At 35.5% G+C, this 26,683-nt stretch overlaps 1 protein-coding gene and 1 pseudogene across 11 annotated transcripts in view; both read right to left on the bottom strand.

The window, feature by feature from the left end:
- The window catches only part of NBAS (NBAS subunit of NRZ tethering complex), a 782,426-nt gene that overhangs the window by 609,794 nt on the left and 145,949 nt on the right, over positions 1-26,683 (bottom strand). For all 11 annotated transcript variants that reach the window (XR_007076390.1, NR_052013.3, XM_017004317.2 and 8 more), the window contains 3 exons: positions 13,466-13,599; positions 7,711-7,773; positions 5,525-5,647 (listed from right to left, as the gene is read on the bottom strand). Coding sequence is in view for 9 of the 11 variants with exons in the window: in XM_017004317.2 (XP_016859806.1) it covers positions 5,525-5,647; positions 7,711-7,773; positions 13,466-13,599 (320 nt within the window). In the remaining 2 variants the exon portion in view is untranslated. The remainder of the gene's footprint in view (positions 1-5,524; positions 5,648-7,710; positions 7,774-13,465; positions 13,600-26,683) is intronic.
- Positions 8,664-9,106, bottom strand: RPS26P18 (ribosomal protein S26 pseudogene 18; annotated as a pseudogene).

Genomic DNA, 26,683 nt, shown 5'->3' on the forward strand with positions numbered 1-26,683 from the left:
GTATTAATTACAGGAGAAACTAAGAAACAATTCAAATGTCCATCAACAGAGAATGTATAAATAATGAGTTACGTTCACAAAATGGAATACTTCCCAACATTGAGAATGAACAAACTAATGTTATACCAACAATACAGAGGAATCTCACAAACATAACGTCGAGAGAAAGAAGCTACATACAAATGTATATACTATATAATTCCATTTATATAAAGTAAAAAAAAGAGGCAAAGTTAATCTATAGTGTTTTAGTGTTTTGAAGGGGGGTAACTTATAGCACAAACAATCCATATATATATACACTCAGTTCTCACTGCTGTGAGCTTTTTATACACATGGATAGCATCCTACTTTAGCAACCAGACTTCTGTCTGAGGACTTCCACTGCCAAATGGCATCCTTAGTTATGCTGGAAGTGTAAGGGAGTTAACACTCGTCAGACAGGCTCTCAAACAATGATAGCCACGAGAGGGTAGATGAGTAGTTCTCCAACTCCCAGATGACCCCAGCAATACTGAGCCCTAGTCCACAGTGGAAAACCAGCTTATGTAATACAACCAGTATTGGCTCCCTTTTCTTTCCTTTATCAGTTTCCCATTCTCCTACTGATGTGAGGCTAGAATTACCTTCCAAACAAACAACTTACACTCTAATCTTAGCCTCAGGGAAGCCCATATTGACAGAAGAATAATGCACTATTTCTTCATTTAATTGCTGGCTACATGGGTATGGTATGATCATTTTATAAAAATGTATGAAGCAGTAAACATCTTTTTTATAAAAAAGAGTTGATGGTATACTGTGGAGTTAGAACCAGAACCCAAGTCATCTGATTCCCGAGTCAAGATAATTTCCTAATATGACTTCCTTACAGGAATTTAGAAGACATGAAAAGACATGGATCAAGGGGGAACTTCCAAAGGGATGTTCACATTCAGAAAAGATTAAGCAAAAGGAAATGAATTAAATCTCCAGGCTAAAACAAGTAAAAATATGCAAAAATACTGGACATCAGGCAATGAAAGACAGTGATCCCTGAGAGATAAAAACAAGTCTTTTTTGTTGTTGTTGTTTGAGACAAGGTCTCACTCTGTCACCCAGACTGGAGTGCAGTGGCACGATCATGGCTCACTGCTGAGATGACTCTTAAGACTACCCCAGTTTACTGTCTTGAGAAAGATTCCAGGCCACAGCACAAGAAAGGATCAATCTAAGCAGAGACTTCTGGAGTCCCTGCATTGAGAAGACAGAACTGAAATTCCAGAGAAACCAAAGCAGATAAAGCACATGCAGGATGAAGCACCAGGGAAGACATAGCAGAACTGGAAGAAATTCCCAAGATCTACGAAGGGTCCCCACGAATATTCAGACAAGTAGAAGCCATAAACGCCTACAATAAAACTGCCTGAGGCTAGGAAAAGAAAAGGGGAAAAAGAAAACATGTCAAGCTCACACATGCTGGAAAACCTCAAGACACACAGGCATTAAGCAGAGTCTTAGCTCAGTTATGGGGAATAATTAGCCCTAGAAGGAGCTCTTCCTCCATCCCAACTGCAAAAAGCAAAAAGATTAAACTGTTTGCAAGTAAATTAACCATGTCCCAGAAAAAAGTACAAGAATATTTATGCTAAGTGAAATAAATCAGACATAGAAAAATATTGCATGTTTTCACTTACATGTAAAATTTTTAAAAATCAAGTATAAAGAAATAGACACCAAAACAGTGGTTACTATAAAGGGTTGGAGGGGACAAATAAGGAGATGCAGATTAGAGGATACAAAGTAGCAGATATGTACATGAACAAGCCTAGAGGTCTACTGTACACCATGAGAACTATACGTAATAAAATTGTCCTGTATATGGGATCACGCTAAAAGAGTAGATTTTAGCTGCTCCTGCCACACAAACAAAATAAAATAGATAACTATGTGAGATGATGAATGTTAATTTGTTTCACCATAGTAACCTTTTTACTATTTATATGTATCCCATCACTTGGTGTTGTATACTTTAAATATATAAAATAAGACTTAATTTTTTAAAAAAGAAAATTTATAAAAATACAAAAATATGATAGCATACAAGAAGGAAAAATTCATAATGTCTAGTATTCAATAAAATTATTTTGCGGCCAGGCGTGGTGGCTCATGCCTGTAATCCCAGCACTTTGGAAGGCCGAGGCAGGTGGATCACCAGGTCAGGAGTTTGAGACCAGTCTGACCAACATGGTGAAACCCCGTCTCTACTAAGAATACAAAAATTAGCTGGGCATGCAGCGTGCCTGTAATCCTAGCTACTCGGGAGGCTGAGACAGGAGAATCACTTGAACCCTGGAGGTGGGGGTTGCAGTGAGCCGAGATCGCACCACTGCACTCTAGCCTGGGCGACAGAGCAAGATTCCATCTCAAAAAAAAAAAATTATTTTGCATTGAAAGACATGAAAAATATGACAGATAATGAAGAAAAAATTATTCAAAACCTATCCAGATATTAGATGGGTATCACAGATGTTAGAAATATGCTTTTAAAAAGAAGAAATGTTAGAAAAAGCAAACGATGGTGTTAGAAAAACAGACAAGAGTGGTTTAAAATGTATTATCACTGTTTAACATACGTTCAAAAAGTTAATGAGGCATGAAAGTTTAATAAAAACCAAAATTGAACTCTTAGAGATTAAAAAAAAAACTCTTAATGAAAAATATAATGAATGTACAAATTGATGAGACATGAGAGAAAAAAAGATTTAGTGGACTTTAAAAAACAGCGATAGAAATTATCCAAAATGAAACAAAAATACCGAAGAATATTAAAAACAAATAAACAAGTAACACAGTATTGATGAGCCATGAGGCAACCTGAAAGGTCCTAATAGATGTATAATTGGAGTCCTGAAAGGAGAGGAGCAGAAGATAAAGGAGAAGAAATACGCAAAAATTTTCCAAGTTGGATGGAAACTATAAACCCAAAGACCCAAGATCCAAGATCCAAGATGCTTTATAAAGAAAACTACACCATGAAATTAAATTTGAAACTGATGTCAAAAAGAGACATTCACAATAGCAATTTAAAAAATATGAGAAACACATCAGAAATAGATTAACTCTGACAGCAGATTTCTCTGTGGAAAAAAATGCATGCTAGGAGACAGTGGAGCAATTTCTGTACCGTAGCATACTAAAAAAAAAAAAAAACTGTCACATTGGAAGTGAATATATCCTTATATACCAAGTGAATATATCCTTCAGAGAAAAATGTGAAATAAAGACTTTTTTAAACAAACAAAGATGTACAAATGAATCACTGGCATCCTAGCACTACCAAAAAAAAAATTAAAAGAAGCCTTCCAGACAAAAAGAAAATGCAACCAGATGGAAACATAAGTCTACATAAACAATAAAAAGTGCCAGAAATGGTAACTACATGCATAAACATGCAACACATTTTTCACATTATTTACATCACTTTAAAAAATAGTTTACTGCTTGCAAATAATAATACAATGCAAAGTGGGGTTTTTAACATACATAAAAGTAAATTATATGACAACAAAAAAAAAAGCTTGGAGAGGAGAAAGTATCTTGCTAGAAACTCACATTGTAGAGGTAAAGAAACACTATCACAGGAAGATCTACCTTCCTGTGATAGTGTAATCTTTTATATAGGAAATCCCATGAAGTCTGCAAAGAAAAACTATTAGAGCTAATAAGTAAGCCCAGAAAAGGTAGAGGACATAAGACCAATAAACTGAAGAATCAACTGTATTTCTACGCATTAGGAAGGAACAATCTGAAGATGAAATTAAGAAAGAAATTCCCTTTACAATAGGACCAAACAAGAATAAAATACTTAAGAATAATTTAACAAAATAAATGCAAGAATAGTACACTGAAAACTACAAGATTATTTAAAGAAATTAAAGAAGAACTAAGTAAACGGAAAGACATCAGTGTTCATGGATTGGAAGACTTAATATTGATTTAGGATAGCAACACTCTCCAAATTGACCTACAGATTTGATGCAATCCTTATCAAAATTCCAAATGAAGAAATTGGTAAGCTTATTCTAAAATGCATATGGAACTGCAAAGGCCCTATAATAAACAAAACAACTTTGGGGGAAAAAAAACAAAGCTGGGAGACTAATGTTACCTAATTTCAATATTTAATAGAAATCTGCATAATTAACACAGCATGGTATGGGAAGAAAGATAAATAAATGGATCAATGGAACAAAATAATCAAAAACTAGGCCCCCATTTACACAGACAACAGATTTCAAGAAAACTGCAAAGGTAATTCAGTAGAGAAAGGATGGCTTTTTTAACAAATGGTGAGGAATAATTAGATACAAAAAGTTTTTTGACCCATACTTTGAACAATAAACAAAAATGGATTCTTAGAATGGTTCATGGGTCTAAATGTAAAATGTAAAACCAAAACTTTGTTAACAAAGGGGGGAGAAAAACATTGTGGCAAAGCAATAAAAAAGTACAAATTGATTAAAAGGCAAATTTTTAAAAAGCATACTCTTCAAAACACAAAGGTAAAATAATGAAAAGACAGGGCACAAATGGGAGAAAATCTTCGCAAAGCATATATCTAATAAAAGGACTTATATCTAGAATATATAAGAAAACTCCCAAAACTCAATAAAAAGAAAAATTACTCAGTTTTAAAGACAGGTAAAGAAAACATACAGATAGCAAATAAGCACTGACCACACCAAATGTTGATGAGGATATAGAAGAGCAATCAATGTAGGATGCAGCAACTGTAACTCTCCTACAAGAGTGGTAGGAAAGTAAAACAGTACAAATCCTTTAAAAAACAGTTTGGCAGTTTTTGAAAGTTAACTATTCACTTACCAAATGATCCTGCCATTTCATCCTTAGGTATTTGTCTGAGAGAAATGAAAGCGTATGTCTACACAAACACTTGCATATGAAAAGTCGTAGCAACTTTATTTGTAAAAGCCAAAACTCAAAATAACCCAAATGTCCACGGACAGAGAAGTGGTAAACAGGCTGTGAAAAATCCATACAATGAAATACCATTCCGCAAACAAAAAGAAATAAACTACTGATTCATGACACAACATGGATGAATCACAAAATAATTATACTGAGTGAAAGCCAAACAAACACACAAACAAAAAAGTTACACTGTGTGACTGATTTCTATAAAATTCTAGGAAATGCAAAGTAATATACAGAAGTAAAGAAAATAGATTAGTGGTAGCCCTGATGAGGAGAAGGGAGCACGATAAAGAAAAGCAAGAGAGAAAGGATTCTAAAGGAGTAATCAAAAAACTTTCAGGGGTACTGGATGTGTTTATTATCTTAATCATAATGATGGTTTCCCATGGCTATACACACATATCAAAACTTATCAAATTATACTTACACTTTAAATATGTGCAGTTTATTATTAGTTATAACACAATGAGGTTGTCAGAAAAAGAGAAATACTTTTAAAAATATTTAAAATTAATTGACCCAAGTATCAATTAATTTTATTACTCACTTCCGGCCAGTGTGCCTCGTCAATCTAACCATCAGCTTGCGTGCCTCTTCTGAGCTAGATTGAGTGTTTTTAACAAATGAAATTGGTTTCTCGAGTCCATGTTTTTCCAAAAGCTCTGACACACTATAAGTGAAAAAAGAATTATTTAATGTCTTGCTACCAAACAAAAAGAGTCTAAGAATCTTAGGCATAGAGGTAGCCCTTCAGTGTTTAGTATTAAAAAAAAATTATCCCATAGTGTAATCCAATTTTACATATAACGTTGATTCTCAGCAAAAAAGAAAAAAAATCGAATAATTAAACAAATCTTACCTTTCTCATTGACTTTTATTAGAATGTAGTTGGGCTAAGTAGCATACTAAAAGAAAGCATAACCTATCTTTATCTCAAAAATCTTTTTGCTACAGCACCTGTCAGTAAAATAAGCCAAATCTATACTTTCAGTACAGTTTTAACTCTTATTAATCCTATTGAGTATTCTGTTATAGGCTGTTATAGGCAAGACTACTAGAAAAGCAATAAACCAAGAATGTTAGAGTTAGACGACTGGAAATCATCAGGCTCATTCTCTGTCAAGAATCCATTTTATAAATATACAAGATATGTCAAAAATTCTCTCTGTCTCATAAGAATCTTCTTGAGATATCCCATTCCATAATCATCAACATCATATAAATACTTGATCTGACTCACAAAATCTCACATTTATGAACTGACTACTACAGGACTGAATAGAGTTACTGGATCGAATCCAGTAACTCTTCAGAATATAGGTTTCATCAGTAAAGTCGCCTGGCATTATGTATACTAAAACATTTATCAAGTGTCTGGGGCTATCAGGTGGAACAGGATACAAAGCTCTTAGTTTGAAAGCACAGTAAATTAAGCTAAATAGTGAAACCTAAACATCATCCAGAAACCTGTAGGGTGTTAAGTGTTTCCTTGAGGTACTGATGGCATATTAAAACTACCAGGACCACCCATGGTTACAACCAGACATGTGATGAAATAAATTACGTTTATTTCACTGTATCTCTTTGAGCTATCTCTTCTCAATTTTACTAGAGAAATAAAGGTAACTATGCAGATTTGTAGAGAATGAATTTACATTGACTCAACCCAACAAACCTTAGTCAAACTAAACTGAATGTGTTAGGAAGGTAGTGGGGATGGCAGGCACAAGCCAACCTATAATAGGAAAAGCTGATTTTGTAAACATTTTTCAAGAAATACAACTGTATAACTTTCAGAACACAGAATAACAGGAATCAAGCTAGGTAATAATAAACACAGGTCTTCAGGAAACTGAAGAGTTAATTCTCTATTAAACTCACATATTACGGTGCACAAAAACATTCTGTTCCCTTAAAGGCAACTTGAAATATTTTTACACTAAAGTCCATTAATTTGAATACGATTTCTAATCAGTGGACTCCAAATTATCATACATACTACTATTAGTAAAGTAATGTTATTAGCTATAAATTTCTACAATTATATATTGGAAGACCACAGTTTATTATTCTTAAAATTTTACTTTTAATACAATACTTAAAGTTAAATGTGCATATTTATATAAACATAAAAATAAATATTAGTAAAAATATCAGACTTTCTACATGGGAAATTAAGATGATTTCAATCTCCAGAAGAGATAGTTTAACATTTTATTACAACAGTAGAGAATATTCCTCCAGTGTTGCATGAGGGTTCTAATGCAGTTTGACATAATACAAATAGTCAATTCAATGTATTATGCCCTAAAAAGGGAAGTTAGCGTAATAAACATTGTCTGCTGATAAAGATGCAATAATTGCTGCAGGAACTAACATTTCTTATGTGCCTACTATGTAGGAGGCACTTTAAATGCTTAATCTAATATTGATTCCACAATTTTGTGAGTTAGATATTATACATAAGAAAACCCTAGGCCCAAAGATCACACGACTAGTAAGTGGCAAGGCCTAAATTTGAACGTAGGTTTTCAAAGACCATGTTATTATTCTATTACTCCACTACAATAGGGGTGCAGTGTATTTGTTGTTGAGAAAATTCACTCCCAAGACAATCAAACAAAAATGAGGTTAAAGTAGAAACGATGACTCACAGGCAGACTTAATGTGACATTTCTTGGACAAATTCCCTTAATAAGCATGGAGAAAAAAAAAAACTGTCATTTTTCTCACCTGAGAATTTGTTCCAGTTGGTCTACCATGTCATGAAGCTTTGTGGTTGCCTCTGTCTTATCACTAATAAATTAAAAGAAGAAAAAAAAAAGCCCTTAAGTTTAGTATTAGCTTTTTAAATAAAATACAAAACTTAATGAAGTGAAAAAAAGATGTTTCTTTTATATGTAATGTATAACAATATTATCTAAATTCATTCAGCATTATTAATGATTCAAGAGAATTATATAAGAAATGCTAGAGTAGAACAATATTCTCTGTTACAGATTAGTCAGATATGAACAACTATTTTCTAGGGTACTTTTGGTTCAGTTGTGCTTAAAGGTAAAAAAATATATAAATCGATTGTTTATTTAAGATGAGGTAAAAGGTAAAATCACTCTTTACTACTGTTCTTTTAAACCAATAAAACAGATTAAGAAGAAGCATAGCCATGTTGGCTTTCTCCTAGGCCTATCTACACAACTTAGGACCCCTCCTCTCCAGGAAGTTTCCATTAGGATTCCATATACTCAGAAAAGTTCTTCCACATAATCATCCCTTGTGCTTTAAGGGAAGGAAATCCCATCCACTTCAACGTTAAGGAATCAGTGAGAAGTATATCCATCACATAGATAATCCCTAGTAGGGAGTGAAGGTGAAAAGCAAATGCTTTCTGAGGAAGCCAGTAAGCAGGGACTAGGAGAAACACCGTCATGAAAAAGATCACAAACTAATAAAAATGTGCCTGGTAGGGAAGATTAAGTATGGCACAACATATGTGCAAGTGAATACAGGGATATGGTGAAAAAGATTATAACTGCTATAAAAGTCCTCTTTCATCCTAGACAACTCTGTGTCCCAAACACTCTCAACTGAGAAACACTGCTGCTGCCACTCTCAGGTGCCTTCTGTGCAATGCTCCACCTAAACTCCAGCAAGATCTTATGGTTTTATTTATTTTTTATTTTTTTTTCAGTACAATTTCCATTGTATTTTTCTCCAGAGAATAATCTGTCTGCATTATTTAAGGACTTAGCTCCTTACATGGGCTTTGGTGGGGGTTGTGGGGCAGCACCCGCAGGTCAAAATTGGCGTGGGGGTGTTCGGTCCTTGCAGGCTTCATGATATCAATTCCTGACTATTTTGCTGTGAATTGCACAACCCACACAGTAACGTAGCTTCACATACAGCTTGGGAAGCACATAGGTTTCAAAGACGCTCGCTTCAGAAATGTTCCTGACTGCTGTGGCCTCCACTATGTTTCAAATGACGAATTTCTTAATGCCCTTGTACTCGGGCACACATTGGGCACAGTTCATGCAGTGAACAGGCTGCATGTGGCTGTGGCCCTTTTTGGCATGACCGTTGTTCCTTCTTTTCTTTGTCATCTTGGAGGCCCGCACCAGAGAAAAGAATGACTTTATTAACAATAAGCCCAAACAAAAAATCTTTGCCTGGACTTGGAAAATTAAAAATGTCCTGCTTTGGACAAAAAACCCTCATTATTTTTAAAACTATCTATCTGCCTGGTCTAAATGTATTTAACAATTAATCAGTGCAACTTACAAAGATTACACTATCTGTTTAAACTAAGTTTCAGGCTTTGGACAGGAGTGATGAGTGGGATATAGTCTACTTAAAGTCCTTCAGAAAATTATTCATCAGAGCTAACTTCCCTTAACATACTCAGTCAGCCGTGTGTGTGTGTGTGTGTTTGTGTATGTTTTTTTGTTTGTTTGTTTTGTTTTGTTTGGTTTGGTTTTGTTTGAGACAGGGTTTTGCTCTGTCACCTAGGCTGGAATGCAGTGGCAGGATCATGGCTCACTGCAACCTCTGTGTCCTGGGCTCAAGCGATCCTCCTGGCTCAGCCTTCCAAGTAGCTAGAACTAAAGCTGTACGCTACCAAACCCAGCTAATTTTTAAATTTTTTTGTAGAGATGGGGTCTTCCTATGTTCCCCAGACTGGTCTCAACTGATTCTCCCGCCTTGGCCTTCCAAAGTGCTGGGATTACAGGCATGAGTAACTGCACCTGGCCTTATTCAGCAATATTTTTGAAATTATCATTTTACAGCTCTATTATAATCATTTATCATAGATATTAGAGATACAATATTCTTCCTTTGTGAGCTGACATTCACGAACACAATGAGTAAAGTTTTTTTAGCCAGATTAAATAATCTGCCTAGGTAAGATGCACAAAAATTTAATTAGATTAAATGAGTGATTGCTCATTTCTCAAATAGCAAATGGATGTATTCATAGTTTACCACTTGATAAATAACAACTACCACTAAAAATAAACAAATAATCACTGAGAGAATATAAATTGACAAACTTGGCATGAAGAACAAAGAGAACCACAGAAAATATTTTGAGCCCTATATTTTAATACAAGGCTAATTTGTAATTATAATTTACTTAGAAAATTAGAAACATGAAATGCAATCATTAAGAAATAAATGGAGTAACAAGAAAATATCAAGTCATTTTTTGTGTTTACATTAAAAAATGTTACATCAGAAATCATTAATCTGAAGCCAAGAAAAGCTTTTGGCTATGTATACATGAGAGGCATTTCTTAGCCTATACATTCTTCAAAAACAAATATGGTAATCCCCTAACTGTAACATCTACATAAAAAAAGTTTTTAATATCATCAGCCTATTGATACTATGACAATCTCCTCGAAGTAGACAAATTACTATTTAATAATTAATAGATAAGCTCTGATTGATATTTATGCTATTTGACCTTAGTGGAAAACAAAGCCTAATATATTTACTTTTAAGAGTTATGCACACGAGTTGGAAGTCAGTGATTTTGCCTGGTCGACTTAGGAACAAGAAATGAGATATGAAGCTGACAGAGGAATCATAAGGTTCCCACAGAGCCCAGCAAGGAAGAAACTCCCTGCCACTCCAGCTCTCGGAGGAACCAGGGGCTTCTGCATCTCTTGTCACCCTCCAGGGAAAAGCAATTTGACTACTGCCACACTGATAGCCTTTGGGTTGAGGTTTTTAAATGATGGGAACAACAGTTTGCTACAAAAATCTATTAAGACTATCTAGTTTACCTGCCTTTGGCTGCCTATGGAAGGCCTACAGTTCTCAGAGACACACTTGCTACACTCTGCTGCTCTCTACTAGGGATGTGAGGTAGCCTGTGTTCAGGTACAGGTCTGAATAACAAACAGATGCTGAGTCCACTCTGATTTACCTTTCCCTACATGAAGAAGGAAGGAAGAAAAAAGAGGAGTACAAATAAACTTATCAAGGAAAAAATATAAGAACATACCCTAAAGGTCTGAAGGTTATGAATTTCCAGAATGGATTAGACCATTCAGTGAACACCACAATGAATTTACATATGAAACAGAAACACAAAAAATGAAGATATTGAAATCTTCTTTAAAAAAAATCCATATTTAAATAGGGATTATTCAGAATGCCATTGAACTTCTCAACAATACTAGAAAGAAAAGACAAGAGTCATACCTTCAAAATTCACAAGATAAGGATTCTAAGTCTATGATTCCATGTACAATTAAACCTTCTACCAAGTAAAAGTGTGCAATTGTGGCATTTTCCTAATATGTGACAGTCTTTTAAAAAATACCTCCCAGGCAATCTTTGACAGGAAGCTATTTGACAGTATGCTCCACCAAAATGAGGAAAAAGTGAAGAAAGAAGAAAGGAAAACCAAGAAATGCAATATGCAACACGAGAGAGAGGCAAACGAAGTCCCGGGATAATAGATGGACAACAGACACAGAGAACAATTCATTCATACCAATTCCAAGAAGGATGTTTCAAAAGGAAGAGAGCGAGAAAAGAAGAGACAGAGAAAAAAAAAAACATGAAAGGAATAGAGAGATCATTAAATAGTTTTCACGACTGCAAGTAGTTCATGAGGGTGATGGAAAAAAAGAAAACAACAGAAAAGGAAATTATTCAATCCAGGAAAAACAGAGAGTTGTATTAAAAGGAAAATAAATCACACCTAGTTCCGCAGTATAAACAATATTTACGTAATCATAATGATGAAAACACTGGAGAATGGTAGGAGAAGTGGATATGGGAGAAGGGAAAGGACTTCCATAAAAGGAAGTCAAAAATGATCTAAAATTGCAAAATCAAAAAATAACAACACGAGCATAACATTTTAAAGGAGGTAGGCAAAGACAAGGAAAAACCTACCAGTGAAAGTATTTGCTTTTTGAAGATAGGAATCCAAGGATGGGAAAAGTGGGCAGCAAACAGCTGCTTATCAGCTGATATTACTAATACCAGTCTTAGAATTCCCTGACTTTATGTTCATACATTATTTATATTTAAAAATCAGAGGAAGATCATGTCCCTTTAGGCTCCTTTATTTTAGAAAAGTGCCTCCCCACGGCCCCACATTTTGTCTTCCTAAATGACACTAACTGTTTAAAGTAAAAAGACCAGTTAATGCATAGAATATCCCACATTCAGTAGTTGTCTTACTGCTTTCTTCATGGTGTTATTTACCTTGTCTCTCTATTTCCCGTATTAACTGCAAATTAGAAGTTCAACCTAAAAGACTGATTAGACTCAGGGTAAACAACTTTAGCAAAAATATTTCTTAAGGGATGCTGTAAGACCAGGTACTTCATATTGGATCACATCAGGAGGCACGTAAGGTCAGGCTGTCTGACTGTAAGTTATGCCACCCTTCACGACTTGGTTAAGATCATGGCAGTTAGAGCCCAACTTTGAAACTTAAAAAAAAAAAGTCACTAGGGTAATACTTTGGTATCATGCAAATAACCTTTTATCATCAATCTTTCACCTGATTTCAGTACCACTAATGACTGCATGAATAACTCTTTCATGGTAGATTGCAAAATTGGTGACTGCTATCATTTGCTTCATAAGAAATAAAAATTTCCTTTAGTCAGATATGAGCCCCCCCTCCCAAAATAAAAAGAAGAAATAAAAATGTCCTTAAAAGAAAAAGGAAAAGAGAGAAAAGAGGGAGAAGATAAAAAGAGAGCAAAGAGAAAGAGAAAACAGAGAATGAGGCTTTCTTGTCTAAATATCTGATTTTGTAAATCAGGAAACTAATGACCAAAGAAGTAAAGTGACTTGGTTAAAAGTCATAAAAGTTTAAAACAGGTCTGCTGGTATTCACCACTCTTTCATGTGTTGTTATTTATGTCTCCAGATGTGAAATTTATCATATGTGCTAAATTTAATAGAGGGATTAGATTGCTACCTGACTTCCAAAGAAAACATACAAATTTGACTTGCATACAACTAAATAATCCAAAAGCATATTATATACGTTTCCATTTAAACATAAAAGCAGTTAAAAATTAGGTACATTCACTACTTAAAAGAAGTACTATAGGCAAAGGCCAAGAAGAAATAATTCATAGAATAAATATAATTAGCCAATAAATATGAAAAATGCTTCATTAAAAACACAATTACTACCTACTGACTTATAAAAAGTAGTTTTTGTGGAGATCGTGGTGGTATTTTTGTTTTTCAATAGGAAATTATCATGTTTGACAAAATTCAGAATTTAATTATAATTACAGTTGAACAAAATATAGAACTTCCCATATATTGGTAGGACAAGAAATGTTTATCCTAGGCAATAGGATTGCAGATAATTTTATTTTCTTCCTTATGTTTTTTTCACATTCCCAAAATTCTCTAAGGTAAGCATTTGGGGAAGCAACGTTTTTGTTTTAACTGTTAGAATAAAAAAACACAATAAGACTGGCATACTGTGTATTCTTACCCATATCCTCTTTCTGGCAGACATTCTAGTAGGTCATAGCAAAGACAGAGTTGATCATTTCGTTCACAGGTATAGATGCACTCTAGTGCTATTGCCATCAGTTGGTCCTGATCAGGAATAATTTTTTGCTGCAGCTACAGAAAATAAAGTATGTTGTACTAAATGTCAACAGATTTATAGTCAATTTTTCCATATCCCAATACTACTGTCAACAGAATATTAAATAGCACAATTAATCAACTATAGAAACAAGTCTTGATTTTTCTTTATAGATTTCTGGGGTCTTTAATAATTCTAACTGAAATCACATTTTAATTACAGATCAACTATAAAAGATAATTTGTAACCCCATAAGCTATGTATCAGCTGAAAACAGATTCTTCAATTTATGACCCAGTCAATATAGAAAAAAGAAACACTGTGAATTAAAAAGGCAATTCATTAAGAACATTTCTAACCCTGAAGCCAAATTCTATGTGTTTCAGTTACAAAGTTATATAAAATTCCTTAACTAATATTCAAAGATGTTACAACCTATTACTTTTCAGTAGGCATTATATATTACTCATTTAACTACAGAGTGCTGACATTCTATTCAAAAGAAATCCAACTGTAATAGATCAATACACAAATCACAGAACACATTCCATATTTCTGATGAAGAAAGATGGCTACTTAGGGTGACTTTCTGTATAGAACAAAGCATTTCCCATGGCAAACCACAGATTCCCATTCTTGGAGTATTTTCCAGGATATGAAAATAACCAATTGATTTTTTTCTCATCTATAAAGCATGAATATTAACAATACCTTTCTAAGAAGACTATTTCAAGGATTAAATTAATAAATATAGAATGAAAAATAAATACAGCAAAAAATCATTTGCATGCTTATATTATTAGCACCACAGCAACCAAAATGAAAGTAATTTTCTTAGAGCTCTTTTGAACAATAAAATAAATCTAAGATAATTTCCATGATAATAGTCTACTGGTTTTCAATGTTTTAGTAGAAACTCATCAGTAAACACAAAAGAGATAGGAAAGTGATGGAGAGAAGCTACCAAACAAGGGCATTTTCTCAGTAGAAAAATCACATCAATGGACGTAAAAAAGAAACTTTCAAGGTTACCAGGAAAACAAAGTTTTCCAAAGCTGTTGAATTAAAGGATTTATATACATTTCTTCAAGGTAGAGTTGGCCCTCCATACCTGTGGGCTCCACTTCCCTGGATTCAACCAGCCATGTATCCAAAATATCTGGGGGAAAAAGTGTCTGTACTGAACATGTACAGACCATTTTTTCTTGTCATTATTCCCTAAACAATATAGTATAAAAACTATTTACATAACATTTACATTGTATTAGGTATTATATGTAATCTACAGAAGATTTAAAGTATACAAGAGGATGTGCAAAGGTTATCACAAATACTACACCATTGTGTATCAGGGACTTGAGCATCCATGGATTTTGGTAGCCTGGCGGCAGGAGGGCTTAAGAGGGGTACTAAAGCAATCCCCCCCAGATACTGAGGGATGAACGTATTCATCTGAAAAATGTCATCTGACAAAGAGTTAACCAAGGTTGCAAAGTGACTAACTGGTAAAATAGGAACAAGCTGACAGTAATAAAAATAAGTACTGTTGAAAATTAATAAAAACAGCTACCTTTTCCTGATTTATTTTTCCTTCCTTCGTGTGTGTGTGTGTGTGTGTGTGTGTGTGTGTGTGTCTATACACTTTTTTTTTTTTTCCAGATACAAGGTCTCACTATGTTGCTCAGGCTGGTCTCAAACCCCTGGCCTCAAGTGATCCTCCTGCCTCGACTTCCCAAAGTGCTGGGATTACAGGCATGAGCCACCACACACAGCCCTCTGATTTCTTATTGTGTGCCAGGTACCATTTCTAAGTGTTTTGTGTGCACTAATTCATAAATCGTCATAACAATCCTATAAAATTACTACTAGTACTATTCTCATTATACACAAATGAAAAACAAATACCCTAAGAGGTCAAATAATTTGCCTGAACCCACAGAGCTAATAAGTGGTAAAGCCAGGATTCAAACCAGGCAATTGGCTCCAGAGCCTAAACTAAGCAAGACAGGCTCTCATAATCCTGCATTCAGGAAGAATGAAAGAAATTGAGAGAAGATATGGCAATAAAACACTCATATATGGTAAGAAAACATCCCTGGAAGATAAAAACACTGAAACCAATTTCAGTCAAGGAACAATTTGGGAAACCATTTGAAATAAAAGCCAAAGTCCTTGATGTCTTACTTGTTCTCCCCACTTCCTATCTTTCCCTCTGTGAGACATTAAATAATCACTTTTTTTTTTAATTTTTTTTTTTTTATTTTGAGACAGAGTCTCGCTGTGTCGCCCAGGCTCAAGTGCAGTGGTGCAATCTCGGCTCACAGCAACCTCCACCTCCCAGGTCCAAGCGATTCTCCTGCCTCGGCGTCCTGAGTAGCTGGGATTACAGGTGCCCACAATCACATCTGGCTAATTTTTGTATTTTCAGTAGAGATGGACTTTCACCATGTTGGCCAGGCTGGTTTCCAACTCTTGACCTAAGGTGATTCACCCACCTCAGGCTCCCAAAATGCTGGGATTACAGGCATGAGCCACTGCGCCCGGCCCTAAAGAACCACTTTTACATTCAATGTCCTTGAGTCCATATTTGACCACATATGTTCAAACTTTACGTTGAGAATCCTTTAACAGTCCTTCAATATGAAAGGTAAAGAATAAATCTTTTGCCTTCCACTTAAACACCTCTATGGCCTGCTCCCATGAACCACTTACCCTTCTACATAAAGTTTTATTTCACTCAAATTAAATTACTTGCATTTACCTAAACATGATATTAACCAGATTATGTCTCCTTGTTTTAGTCTACTCCTACCTGGAATGTCTTCTCAAGAAGACATGTCTTGCCATGTCTAAAACCTACCCAATAATCCAGTGTTATCTCCGTTTGACTTTGACTTAAATTCAGCTTTCCCAGATGTCTACAGTCCTGGAGTATGCTCAACAGTTGCTAGTCCAGTGAATAAGTCCTTATACTACTCTCATACATAAGATACCCTTCTCTCTCTGTATTCCTATGGCACATTTCTTTTCTCTTCTTATGCCATTCTGCATATCTTTTAAAATATAATCTATCATGTACATGAAACATACTGTTCAAATTTATAAGACATTTTTCAATCTTTCCCTGTTAGAATCCCTATAAGATGCCTAACTTCATATAGTCTAAGACACACTTTTTTTTCATTATTCCTTCCCTATTATCTCAGTTGTCACTTTTATACTGTCATTTGCCCTTTCTCAAGCTAAAAGAGGACAGCCCATCTGGGACTTCCTAAGAAGTCAATGAAATGAGTCTTCCACACCATAGGCCGCAGATCATCACCCATACTGCATAGCAAGGTAAAATGCAAAAGAATAATAATTTCTAAAAACTCTTAAAATTATGCACTATATACAACTAGAAAAGAACACAGATGATAAGATAGGATACCTGGAATATCCCAAAGAATCAAGCAATCAAATCAGTGAAGTAGCAGAATACAAAACTAACATATAAATAGCTTTTATATACACAAACATTAAATAGTTAGAGGAAATGAAGGTAGATAGTATAAACAGAGAAAACTTAAAACTTAGGAATAAATTTAACAAAAAATGTGCAAAACATCTAAGAGGAATATTTTCAAGCAATTCTAAAAGAGATTTAAGAATACATAAACTAATAGAACAACATCCGCTATTATTGGATAAGATGACTGAACATTATACAAATATTGGTCTCCCTAAGTTAATGTACAAATTCAATGCAATCACAATAAAATACCAATAAGCAATTTTATGAAAGTAGACAAACTGTTACTAAAGTTCAGATAGAAAAACAAATATACAATAACATGTAAAAAAAAAAAACAAAACAAAAAAACATGAGGAAAAAAACCCACAGAGGAATACTACCTCCTCAGACATTAAAACACACTAAAATCTCTATAATTAAAATCATGAAGTACTAGTGCATGGACAGACAGACCAGTAGAATATAGAAACTCTAGAATTAAACCCATGTACAGATGGAAATTTAGGTATATGACAAAGGTGGCATTTCAAATCACTAGGGTAATGGTAAACTTTTTAATAAATGATGCTGGAACAACTGCGTGGTCATTTGGGAAAATAAAATCAGATCCATGTCTCACAATACAAAAGAATAAACTCCAAATAAATTGGGAAGAGAAAAATAAAACCATGCAAGTACTAGAAGAAAACGTGAGAGAATTCTTCCTTAACTCTGAGTATGAAAAGGCTTTCCAACTATTACTCAAAATACAGAGGCAGTAAAAGATCGAACAATTTGACTACACAAAAATTAAAAAGTGAAAACATTGTATGACACAATAAACAAAGTCAAAAGACAACTGACCAACTGGGAGAAATATTAATATATGCCACAGAGAAAGGGTTAGTTACACGAATATGTAAGAATTCCTAAAAATTAAGGTACAAAGGAACAAAAACCCTATCGAAGAATGGAGTAAGGACAGGAATAAATTCACAAGAGAGGTAATGCCTATCTAACATATCGGAAAATGTTAAAACTCTTAATTAGAAAAGCACAAATTGAAACAACACTGAAATACCATTTCTCACCTATCACATTGGCACAAATTTTAAAATATGACAACAAATTCTGTTGGCAAAATTGTGGAGAAACGGGCATACTCCTACTTGGCTGGTGGGAATGTAAATTAGAACAGTCCTACTAAAGAAAAATTTGGCTACATCAAGACAACTCTTGCCTTTTTAAACCCAGCAGTCTCCTTCCAGGAATATATGCTGAAAATACACCAATAATATAAAAATACATGTGGACAAGGTTATTCATTGAAGCACTGCTTGTAATTGCAAAAATATTGGGAATGGCATGTATCCCAACACATGGAAAGCTAGTGAGACTAAGTAAGTTTTTAAAATTTTATTAGATTTAGATTTATATCCATATGTGGCTAGTGACTACCATTTTGAATAGCATAGCTTGAGAGGTACTTTTCACTTCCTGAGGACCATAGACCAAGAGAAAGTGCACAGAAAATTGCAGCCAAAAGTTTAAGGGGTTAAGTATGCCCTCCGCAAACATATCTTGCTGGGACAGGAGTCCAGGACCTGCCAAGGAGAGGGGCCTAGTAATCACCCAATACTTCTGATACTTTCTGGAGGACTACACCCTAGGAATAGGGGAGAACTGGAAATAGGAGAGTCTTTTTGAAACTTGAAACCGCTCAATCCCTGATCAGATGACAGTGACTTCACTACTCAGAGAATAAAATGGCAAAGAGAGTGGAGATTATTTGCCACACGGGTAACTAGCAAAGGATAATTTCCATATCACAGTACTGCAAATTAAACCACAAGGAGATGTTGCTACGTACACAGCAGAATGAGCAAAATTTTAAAAAAGACCCTCAATGGCAATTACACAGGTGTTCTCTTTAGAAAAATGTCTAGCCTTATACATTATTTGTAGTTTTCTGTATTTATGCCATATTATTTTTCTATGCTGCCATAATAAATTACCACGAACTTGGTGACCTAACACAAATTTATCCTCTTACAGTTCTGTAGGTCAGAAACCAAAATGGACCTGACTGAGCTAAAATTCAGTTGTCAGCAAATAAATGTGTTCCTTCTGATGTTCTAGGAGAGAACCCACTTCCTTACCTTTTCCAGCTTCTAGAGGGTGCCCACACTACTTGTCTCAAGGCCCCTTTCTCTATCTTCAAAGACAGCAACAATCTGACAATTCTATAGCATCCTGACCACAGCCAGAAAGATCTGCTACCTTTAAGGACTGGACACACCTGGATAATTCAGGATAGCTTTGCCATCTAAAAGTCCTTAGTTTAATCAAACCTGCAAAGCCCCTTTTGCCAGGTAAGGTAACATCTTCATAGGTTCAGGAATTAGGACATGGACACTTTGGGAGGCCATTATTCTACCTACCACATGTGCTATACTTCAGAATAAAAATATAATAAAGTAATACGCATACTTGACTATTCAAAGTCTGGTTAAGATTATCCTCATCCAACACCTGAACAATTCAGATCCTCTGGTCATTTTAACTCTGATGCTAAAACTACCTTCTTACTATTGTTCACCTTGCTTTTAATACTTCCCATACTTTTTCATTATTATTAATTTATACACTGAATGCTTTATATTTTTCTCATATTTACTGTTTCCTAAGTATGATTATTTTTTCCCCACTCTTTATCATTCCCTCTTATATCTCACTACTTTCTTTTTGTATATAATTTCCTTCTTCATGAAGTACATCCTTGAATAATTCTTTCAGGATGGGTCTGTAAATGATAAACTCTCTGTTTTCACTTATCTTTAAAAAGTCTTTTTTACATTCACATTTGAATGATAGTGTCTCTAAGTAAAATATCCTGGGTTAGAAATGCAGTATACTATGTGGCTTAAAGATTTTGAAGTCATACTACTTAGGCTTAAATCCCTAATGCATCAGTAAATAAGAAACATATAATGTGAGCAAGCTAATTAACTACTCTGCTTTCTCTGAATCTATAAAATGCGAACAATGATAGCTATATAGTCATAAAAATTAAATGAGTTAATACATGTGAAATGTTTAAAACATAACTACCAAAGAAAAAGCATTAAGTAGCCAGGCGTGGTGGCTCATGCCTGTATTGCTAGTGCTTTGGGAGGCTGAGCTGGGAGGACTGCTTGAGGCCAGAAGTTCCAGAGACCAGCCTGGGCAACGTAGCAAGACACCATCCCTACAAAAAGTTATTTTAAAAGCATCAAGTAAATCCTGGCTATCATTAACTATTAGGTTGACTTAAATATCAAGGTTAATTTTCCTTGACATTTAACACATATATATTATTTCATTGTCTGCTGGTATCCATTGTTCTTAAGAAGTCTGCTTTCAGATTTACGGTTTTCCTTTGACTGTAACTTTTGTTTAATCCTAGGCCATTTTTAAGATTCTCTCTGTGCCCGTGGTATCCTTAAGTTCCATTAGAGTACATCTAAATATAGGCTGAACTGTATTTCACTTATCCTCCTCAAGATCTGAATGCACCTCGTATCTTTCATTGATTTTAGGAAAGTCCCACATTGAATACTGTCTGCTTATTGTCATCTCTAGTCTCTCTTCCTGGAATGCTTATTACTCTCATGACAGACCTGCTCTCTCTATCCTCAATGTCTTTTAACCCCATATATTTTTCATTTCTTCACCTTCATGTGTAACAATCCAGAAAATTTCTTAGATTATCTTCAAGATTTCAATTCTTTAATTGTAGCCAAAATTCTTTTGAATCCATCCATTTAATGTTTTGCTTTTATTATTACAGTTTCAAATCTAGAAGTTCTATGTGCTCTTTTTCAAATCTTACTCTTTTTTTCACAATTTCTCCTTCCTATCTCATGTCTTTATTTCTTTCCTCATATCCTAAATATTTAAAATATTCATTTTATAGCCTGCATCTGATCATCTATTACCAGAGGGGAAGTGGAGCAAGGCCTGCCACGGAGTTTTGCTCAAAGTTTAGTTTCCTTTTGTGTTTTATAAAGTTGGATTGTAAACTTATCCTCATCAAAGCTTTATCTATAAGAATCTTGTACAATCTAGATTAAAGTGAGTCCTTCAGAGAGGTTTTGCTTTTGCTGCTACCAAGCAAACTAGGTATCACCAGCCCATGTCCAGTTTTATCACAGGTCACAGAGGCGTATTAATTGAAAGCACAAATTCATGTTAGGCAAGCCTGTTGTTTGACTGCTCAGAAAGAAACTCCCTGCCCCCACATTCCCCACTCCCCTAGAATCCAGAATACATACCCAGGGAGTCATGCTCCTCTGCTACCTTCATGTGCCAATGATAAGCAGTTTCCTATTCTACATTATTGACAATGCATCTTTTAAAGAGCCATGGCATTATATAGAAGTCTTATTTCTTCTTTTTCTTTTATTTTCTGCATGACAAAGAATCTTTAATTTTAAATGAGTATCAGTATACCAAGTAATAACATGTAGAAAGTTTGTGAATTCTATCATCTGGTGATTTTGATTAAGAGAAACTAAATGTAGCCCAAACAATTCCCAAGTGTTCATTATTCTAACCGTTAGCAAGAATAAACTACTTTAAGGCTTGCTGCAACTTCTCACAGGTTCAAGTAACTATTTAATACTTTTTCATAAAGCCCATGACCTTCAAGAAAGTGTTAGGGCAAAAAAAAAATTATTTCATCCCTTTTTTTCTTCAAAGAAGTGGATTTCTTCTTACCAGATCTAAGAAAGAAAAAGTCAACACTGATACATGTGTATTTGACTAAAAGGCATAGGAAAACAGACAACAAGTGCTCATTAAATTTCTAAGAAATATGAGGGAAAAAGATAAAATCTTTGCATAAGTTCTAAGTCTGTACAAAGAAGCTAGATTTGCTACTCTCAAAAAATTAAAACACCTACTGTATAATATACAGAAATAATTTAATGCCTTTTCACAAGACCATAACTTGAGCTTTGCTAAAGCTTCATATTCCATGCGGGCATCTAAAATGCCAGTCCATGAAACAGGTGCTCCTTTCTTCTGGAAGTTTCCATGGATTTCTAGCCAATATAGCAAAGGTTGTCCAAGACTTCATCCCAGTTCTGCTAGAAGTAGGTCTGGAAGATGGGCATCTTCTCGTGGGTCTCCTGCAGTTCCGTGGGATCCCAGTGCTGCAGCTTCCAAGGCCTTGAACACGTTCTCCCTCTGCGGATGGTACTGTTCAATTTCAGCCTGAGCTAAGGCACTGGCCTGCTTCCTCCTCCTGTTCTTTTGCTTGGTACCCCTCCTCGGTGGATGGCTTCTCAGCCTACAGCAGCTGCTGGGGCCAACCGACTGGCCATGGCTGTGGTGACTCTGAAGCCGAGGCAAGCGCCCTAAATCGGCTCCAGGGTCAGCTGACCAGGTCACTCATGATCTACCAGAAGTCTGACTTCTGACTCATCATTTTAAAGACTTCACCTTCTATCTCAAGATAGGTATTAAAATTCACTCCCCTACAGGTTTCAAGACCACAATCCCCATCCCAAGTAGCCACTCCCTCCTTCTCATGAGTATTTCTCTAACTTCTACCCCTCTCTTCACTTTTGCCTGGTAGAAATTTCCCTTGTTCTCCTAAAAGTTCAACCACGCAGGTAAGCAGATTTTTTAAAATTAACATTTTAATGAGTACTTCTAAATATTTTAGTGGTAAGATTTTTAGAATTTCTAGTCAATGATATTGCCAGCTACAAAAATTTATATTCATCTTTATATTTTTTGAGTTTTCTAAATATTCTACAGTAAGCATTAAATTAGAAAAGGTCATGTTCAAACTAAAATTGCTCACTGACATATGTAATCAGAAGTGAAGAAAAAAGATGGCACCTAACAAAGCTATGATACCTAGTAAAGTCCTATTTGTTAAAAGAAGAGTGGACATTTAAAGCAGTTGTTCCCGGTTTTCCATCAAAATCACCGAATAAATTGTCAAACGCATACTCCAGGATGCTTCTGCTAATTTCTAATCCATTATATCTGGATTGAGCATAGAAAATGCTAAGAAAAAATGCACATGGTTCTGAGGCACAGATACACTCAAAGATTACTAGTTTAGAAGTCAGAGAACAATATGAGAAGGCGGAAGCTTTTGTCCCCCAGTTACCCCTATCTAGGACTAGCCCAAGTTTCTTCCCAAGTTTCACTTTCCAAGGAGGAATCCAAGCAAAGAACAATGGCTTAAAATCAGAAAGGAGTGCTTTAAGATACTATTTTTAAAAAGAGGAAGGTTTGAGGCATAAGAGATGGTTTCAAAGACAAATGTGGCAGTCAAGTGTAATGGTAGCACTAGTATAAGTCTAAAGATCCATTTCTTTATCATTATGACTCTGGTCAACTTCATTATCATTCCCAAGTATTTGCTCCTCTCTTCCTCTGAGAGGATTATTCTTCCCTGCCCCATTAACATCAAGCTTGCCCATGAGACGTTCTTTGACCTGTGAAATGTGAAGAAGTAACCTAAGCCACATTTGGACTGAAGTTTTGTGAGCCACTGTGTGGTTCTACTTTGTTCTCTTCCCTATGCCACAAGAGAGAAAAGGGGACTGTTCTTTCTTCCTGAGTCCCCAAATGAATAAGACATGGGACACAGCAGAGGCCAACCACAGCTGACGTTTGACACTTGTGAGAAATAAATGTTCGCAGTCGTAAGCTACTAAGATATAGATGTCACTTGTTAATGTAGCATAACTTAGTCTATCCTGTCTGATACAGAAATAACTGCACCTATTACATTACTAAAAATACTTTGTGCATGATTCATGGAAGCTCTGAGGTGCATTCTTTTTGTAAATAATCAAGTAAAACACAAACAAGGCTGCCTGCACAATTTTAATAAAGCAAACAAATGTAATCAAGTGATATAAAGCATCATAATAAAATCCAGTGTGAAATTTTTAAGAATCACAATAGAAGTCACTGTGTCAAACCCTGGCAAATGGAGCTGGGGAGAGCCATGAAGGGGGGGCTCTTACACATCATTTGCCTGATAACAGGTAACTATCACAAAAAAATTTTCCAAACCACCGTTGACTACACGAATCACACAAGGACAGCTAATTACTTCTACATAAACGCTTGCCTGTTTCAAAAACTATCCCAAGCCCAATCCAAAACTACAAGAGCCTAACCGTAACTCCAAGATTACAAAGCCCTATCTTACTGCAACTGACACTTACCAGTCAGACTCACCAGCTCTTGTAAGGCACTGCCAGCGCCAATAAGATTGCTTTTCAAAACAACTTGCGTAACCTCCTCTTTCCCCAATAAACCCTAACCCATTCCTTTATTCTCCACACATACTGGAAGCCACTTTGCTCTGTATGTATGTCTTGAATTGCAGTCCTACTTCTTGAATATTGTTCCCAAATAAAATCTTTTCATTTAGAGATTTGTCTTGCTACATTTTTTATATTGACACCAGTTTCAATCATTCATTTATTTATTCACTTGCCCTGCCAAAATTTGCTGACATTTGCTCTCTACTAGGCACTGTGCAATTCCCTGGTAATAAGGAGATAAATAAGATCTAGAAGATATATACAGAAAGCAAAGGGGGAGAGAGAGAAATATGTAAGCAAATAAATACAGCACAGTATGATAAGAGCTATAATAGAGACAGAGTACAAAGACAGAGAAGTCACAGAAGGTTTCATAGCAGAGAGAATCTTAGCAGGACCTTGAAGGATAGGCAGGTATTTGTTAAGTGAAGAAAACGGGATCACTACTCCAAACAAAGGAAACAGTCTGTAACACACGGAGGGCCATGAGTGAAACAGACAGCGGAGGAGTTAAGTTCCATGTGAGTATCCTAGTGCATGCATGGAGAGAAATAAAGCTAAAGCAGACAGGAAGCAGACAGCAAAGAACCTTCCAAGCCACTCTAGAGAATCCAACATTTACCTGTCAGCAACGGTCAGTCACTGAAAACTTTCCGCAGATCATGACATGATCACATATATGTTGCAGGAAGACAACACTGAGAGAAATACAGAAGCTGGGTTGGAAAGGAAGAGCCCAACAACATCACTGTTCTCTGTTTTGAGATTCACATGTTTCAACAAAGGCAAATGGCTGTATGTTTTGTTCAAAAGGCACACGCTAAATTGCCAAGTAAAAACAACAAAAAGCTGACTATATACAAAGGATTTACGGAAGTATAACACACAAGATTACTGGAAAGAATTTAAAGTCACTTCTTTCTTCCTCATAAAACATTCATATTCAATCCATCTTGCTTCTCACAAAGTATTCTGCTGCCACAAGCAACCCACCCTGACCTCACCACCCCAAACTTAAAATCAGATTACTAAGAGCAAACTGCTTATGAGAAGACAGAAAATTTTAAAAAGCCAATGAACAGATATATTTCTGAAAGACCACCCTTTTAGAAACCAAAACATAGATTAGCTAAGCAATGTTTTCCTTTCTATTTTGATTATACTGGTCCATGACCATGTATCTTACCAGACACTACTAATGAAGGCCGGTGCAATGAAATAGTCCCAGCCAGAATTTAGAATTGGAATGAGCCCTACATGGGGCTTCCACTTGAACCCCAATCTAATGTTTTGAACCTCACTACAAAGTCAGCGCCTTCTGTGGCTCTGCCAACTTGCTTGCATACCCTCCAATGGAAAGGGAGACACTATCTCTTGAAACAGTATATTTGATCTATGGCTAAATTTTTAGGTTTCTGATATTGCCAAAGTACCCTACACTTAACAAAATGACTATACTACCAGGAAATATGAGCAATCATTTGTACCCTTTAGAAATACAAAGCTATACATATAGTAATTGTAAGCAAATATAAGAATTATTAAGAATAATTACAAAATATCGGCCGTGCGCAGTGGCTCACGCCTGTAATCCCAGCACTTTAGGAGGCCGAGGCAGGCGGATCACCTGAGGTCAGGAGTTTGAGACCAGCCTGGCCAACATGGTGAAACCCTGCCTCTACTAAAAATACAAAAATTTGCCAGGCATGGTGGCACATGCCTGTAATCCCAGCTACTCGGAAGGCTGAGGCAGGAGAATTGCTTGAGCCCGGAAGACGGAGGTTGCAGTGAGCCAAGATCATGCCACTGCACTCCAGCCTGGCCGAAAGAGCGAGACTCTGTCTCAAAAAAAGAAAAAAAAGAATAATTACAAGATGTCTTATGAGAACTTAAGAATTTGCATAAATACTGTGAAGGTCCTCGAGGGCAGAAACCTCTTTTCCTGTTTGTGGTAGGAGAAAGTGTACTGGTTAAGGACACAGTTGTGGAATTAGAATACTATGTTTTAATCCTGGTTTCTCTACTTACTGTGCAACCCTGGGCAATTACCCTATTCACTTTATATCACAATTTTCATTTCTTGTAATATTAACATAATAAAAGTATCTATGCCATAGGATTGTTATAAGGATTAAATGAGGTAACACTGGGAAAGTCATGTATAGAAGAATTCAATACTTGCCAATTATTAGTCTTCTTGGTATTGCCAGCTTCTTAAATATAGTAGATGGCAAACAAACTTTGGAATGAAATAAATCAAAATAAACATAATTTTACAACCTTTTG

Source organism: Homo sapiens, chromosome 2, assembly GCF_000001405.40.
Source record: "Homo sapiens chromosome 2, GRCh38.p14 Primary Assembly".
NCBI lineage: Eukaryota > Metazoa > Chordata > Mammalia > Primates > Hominidae > Homo > Homo sapiens.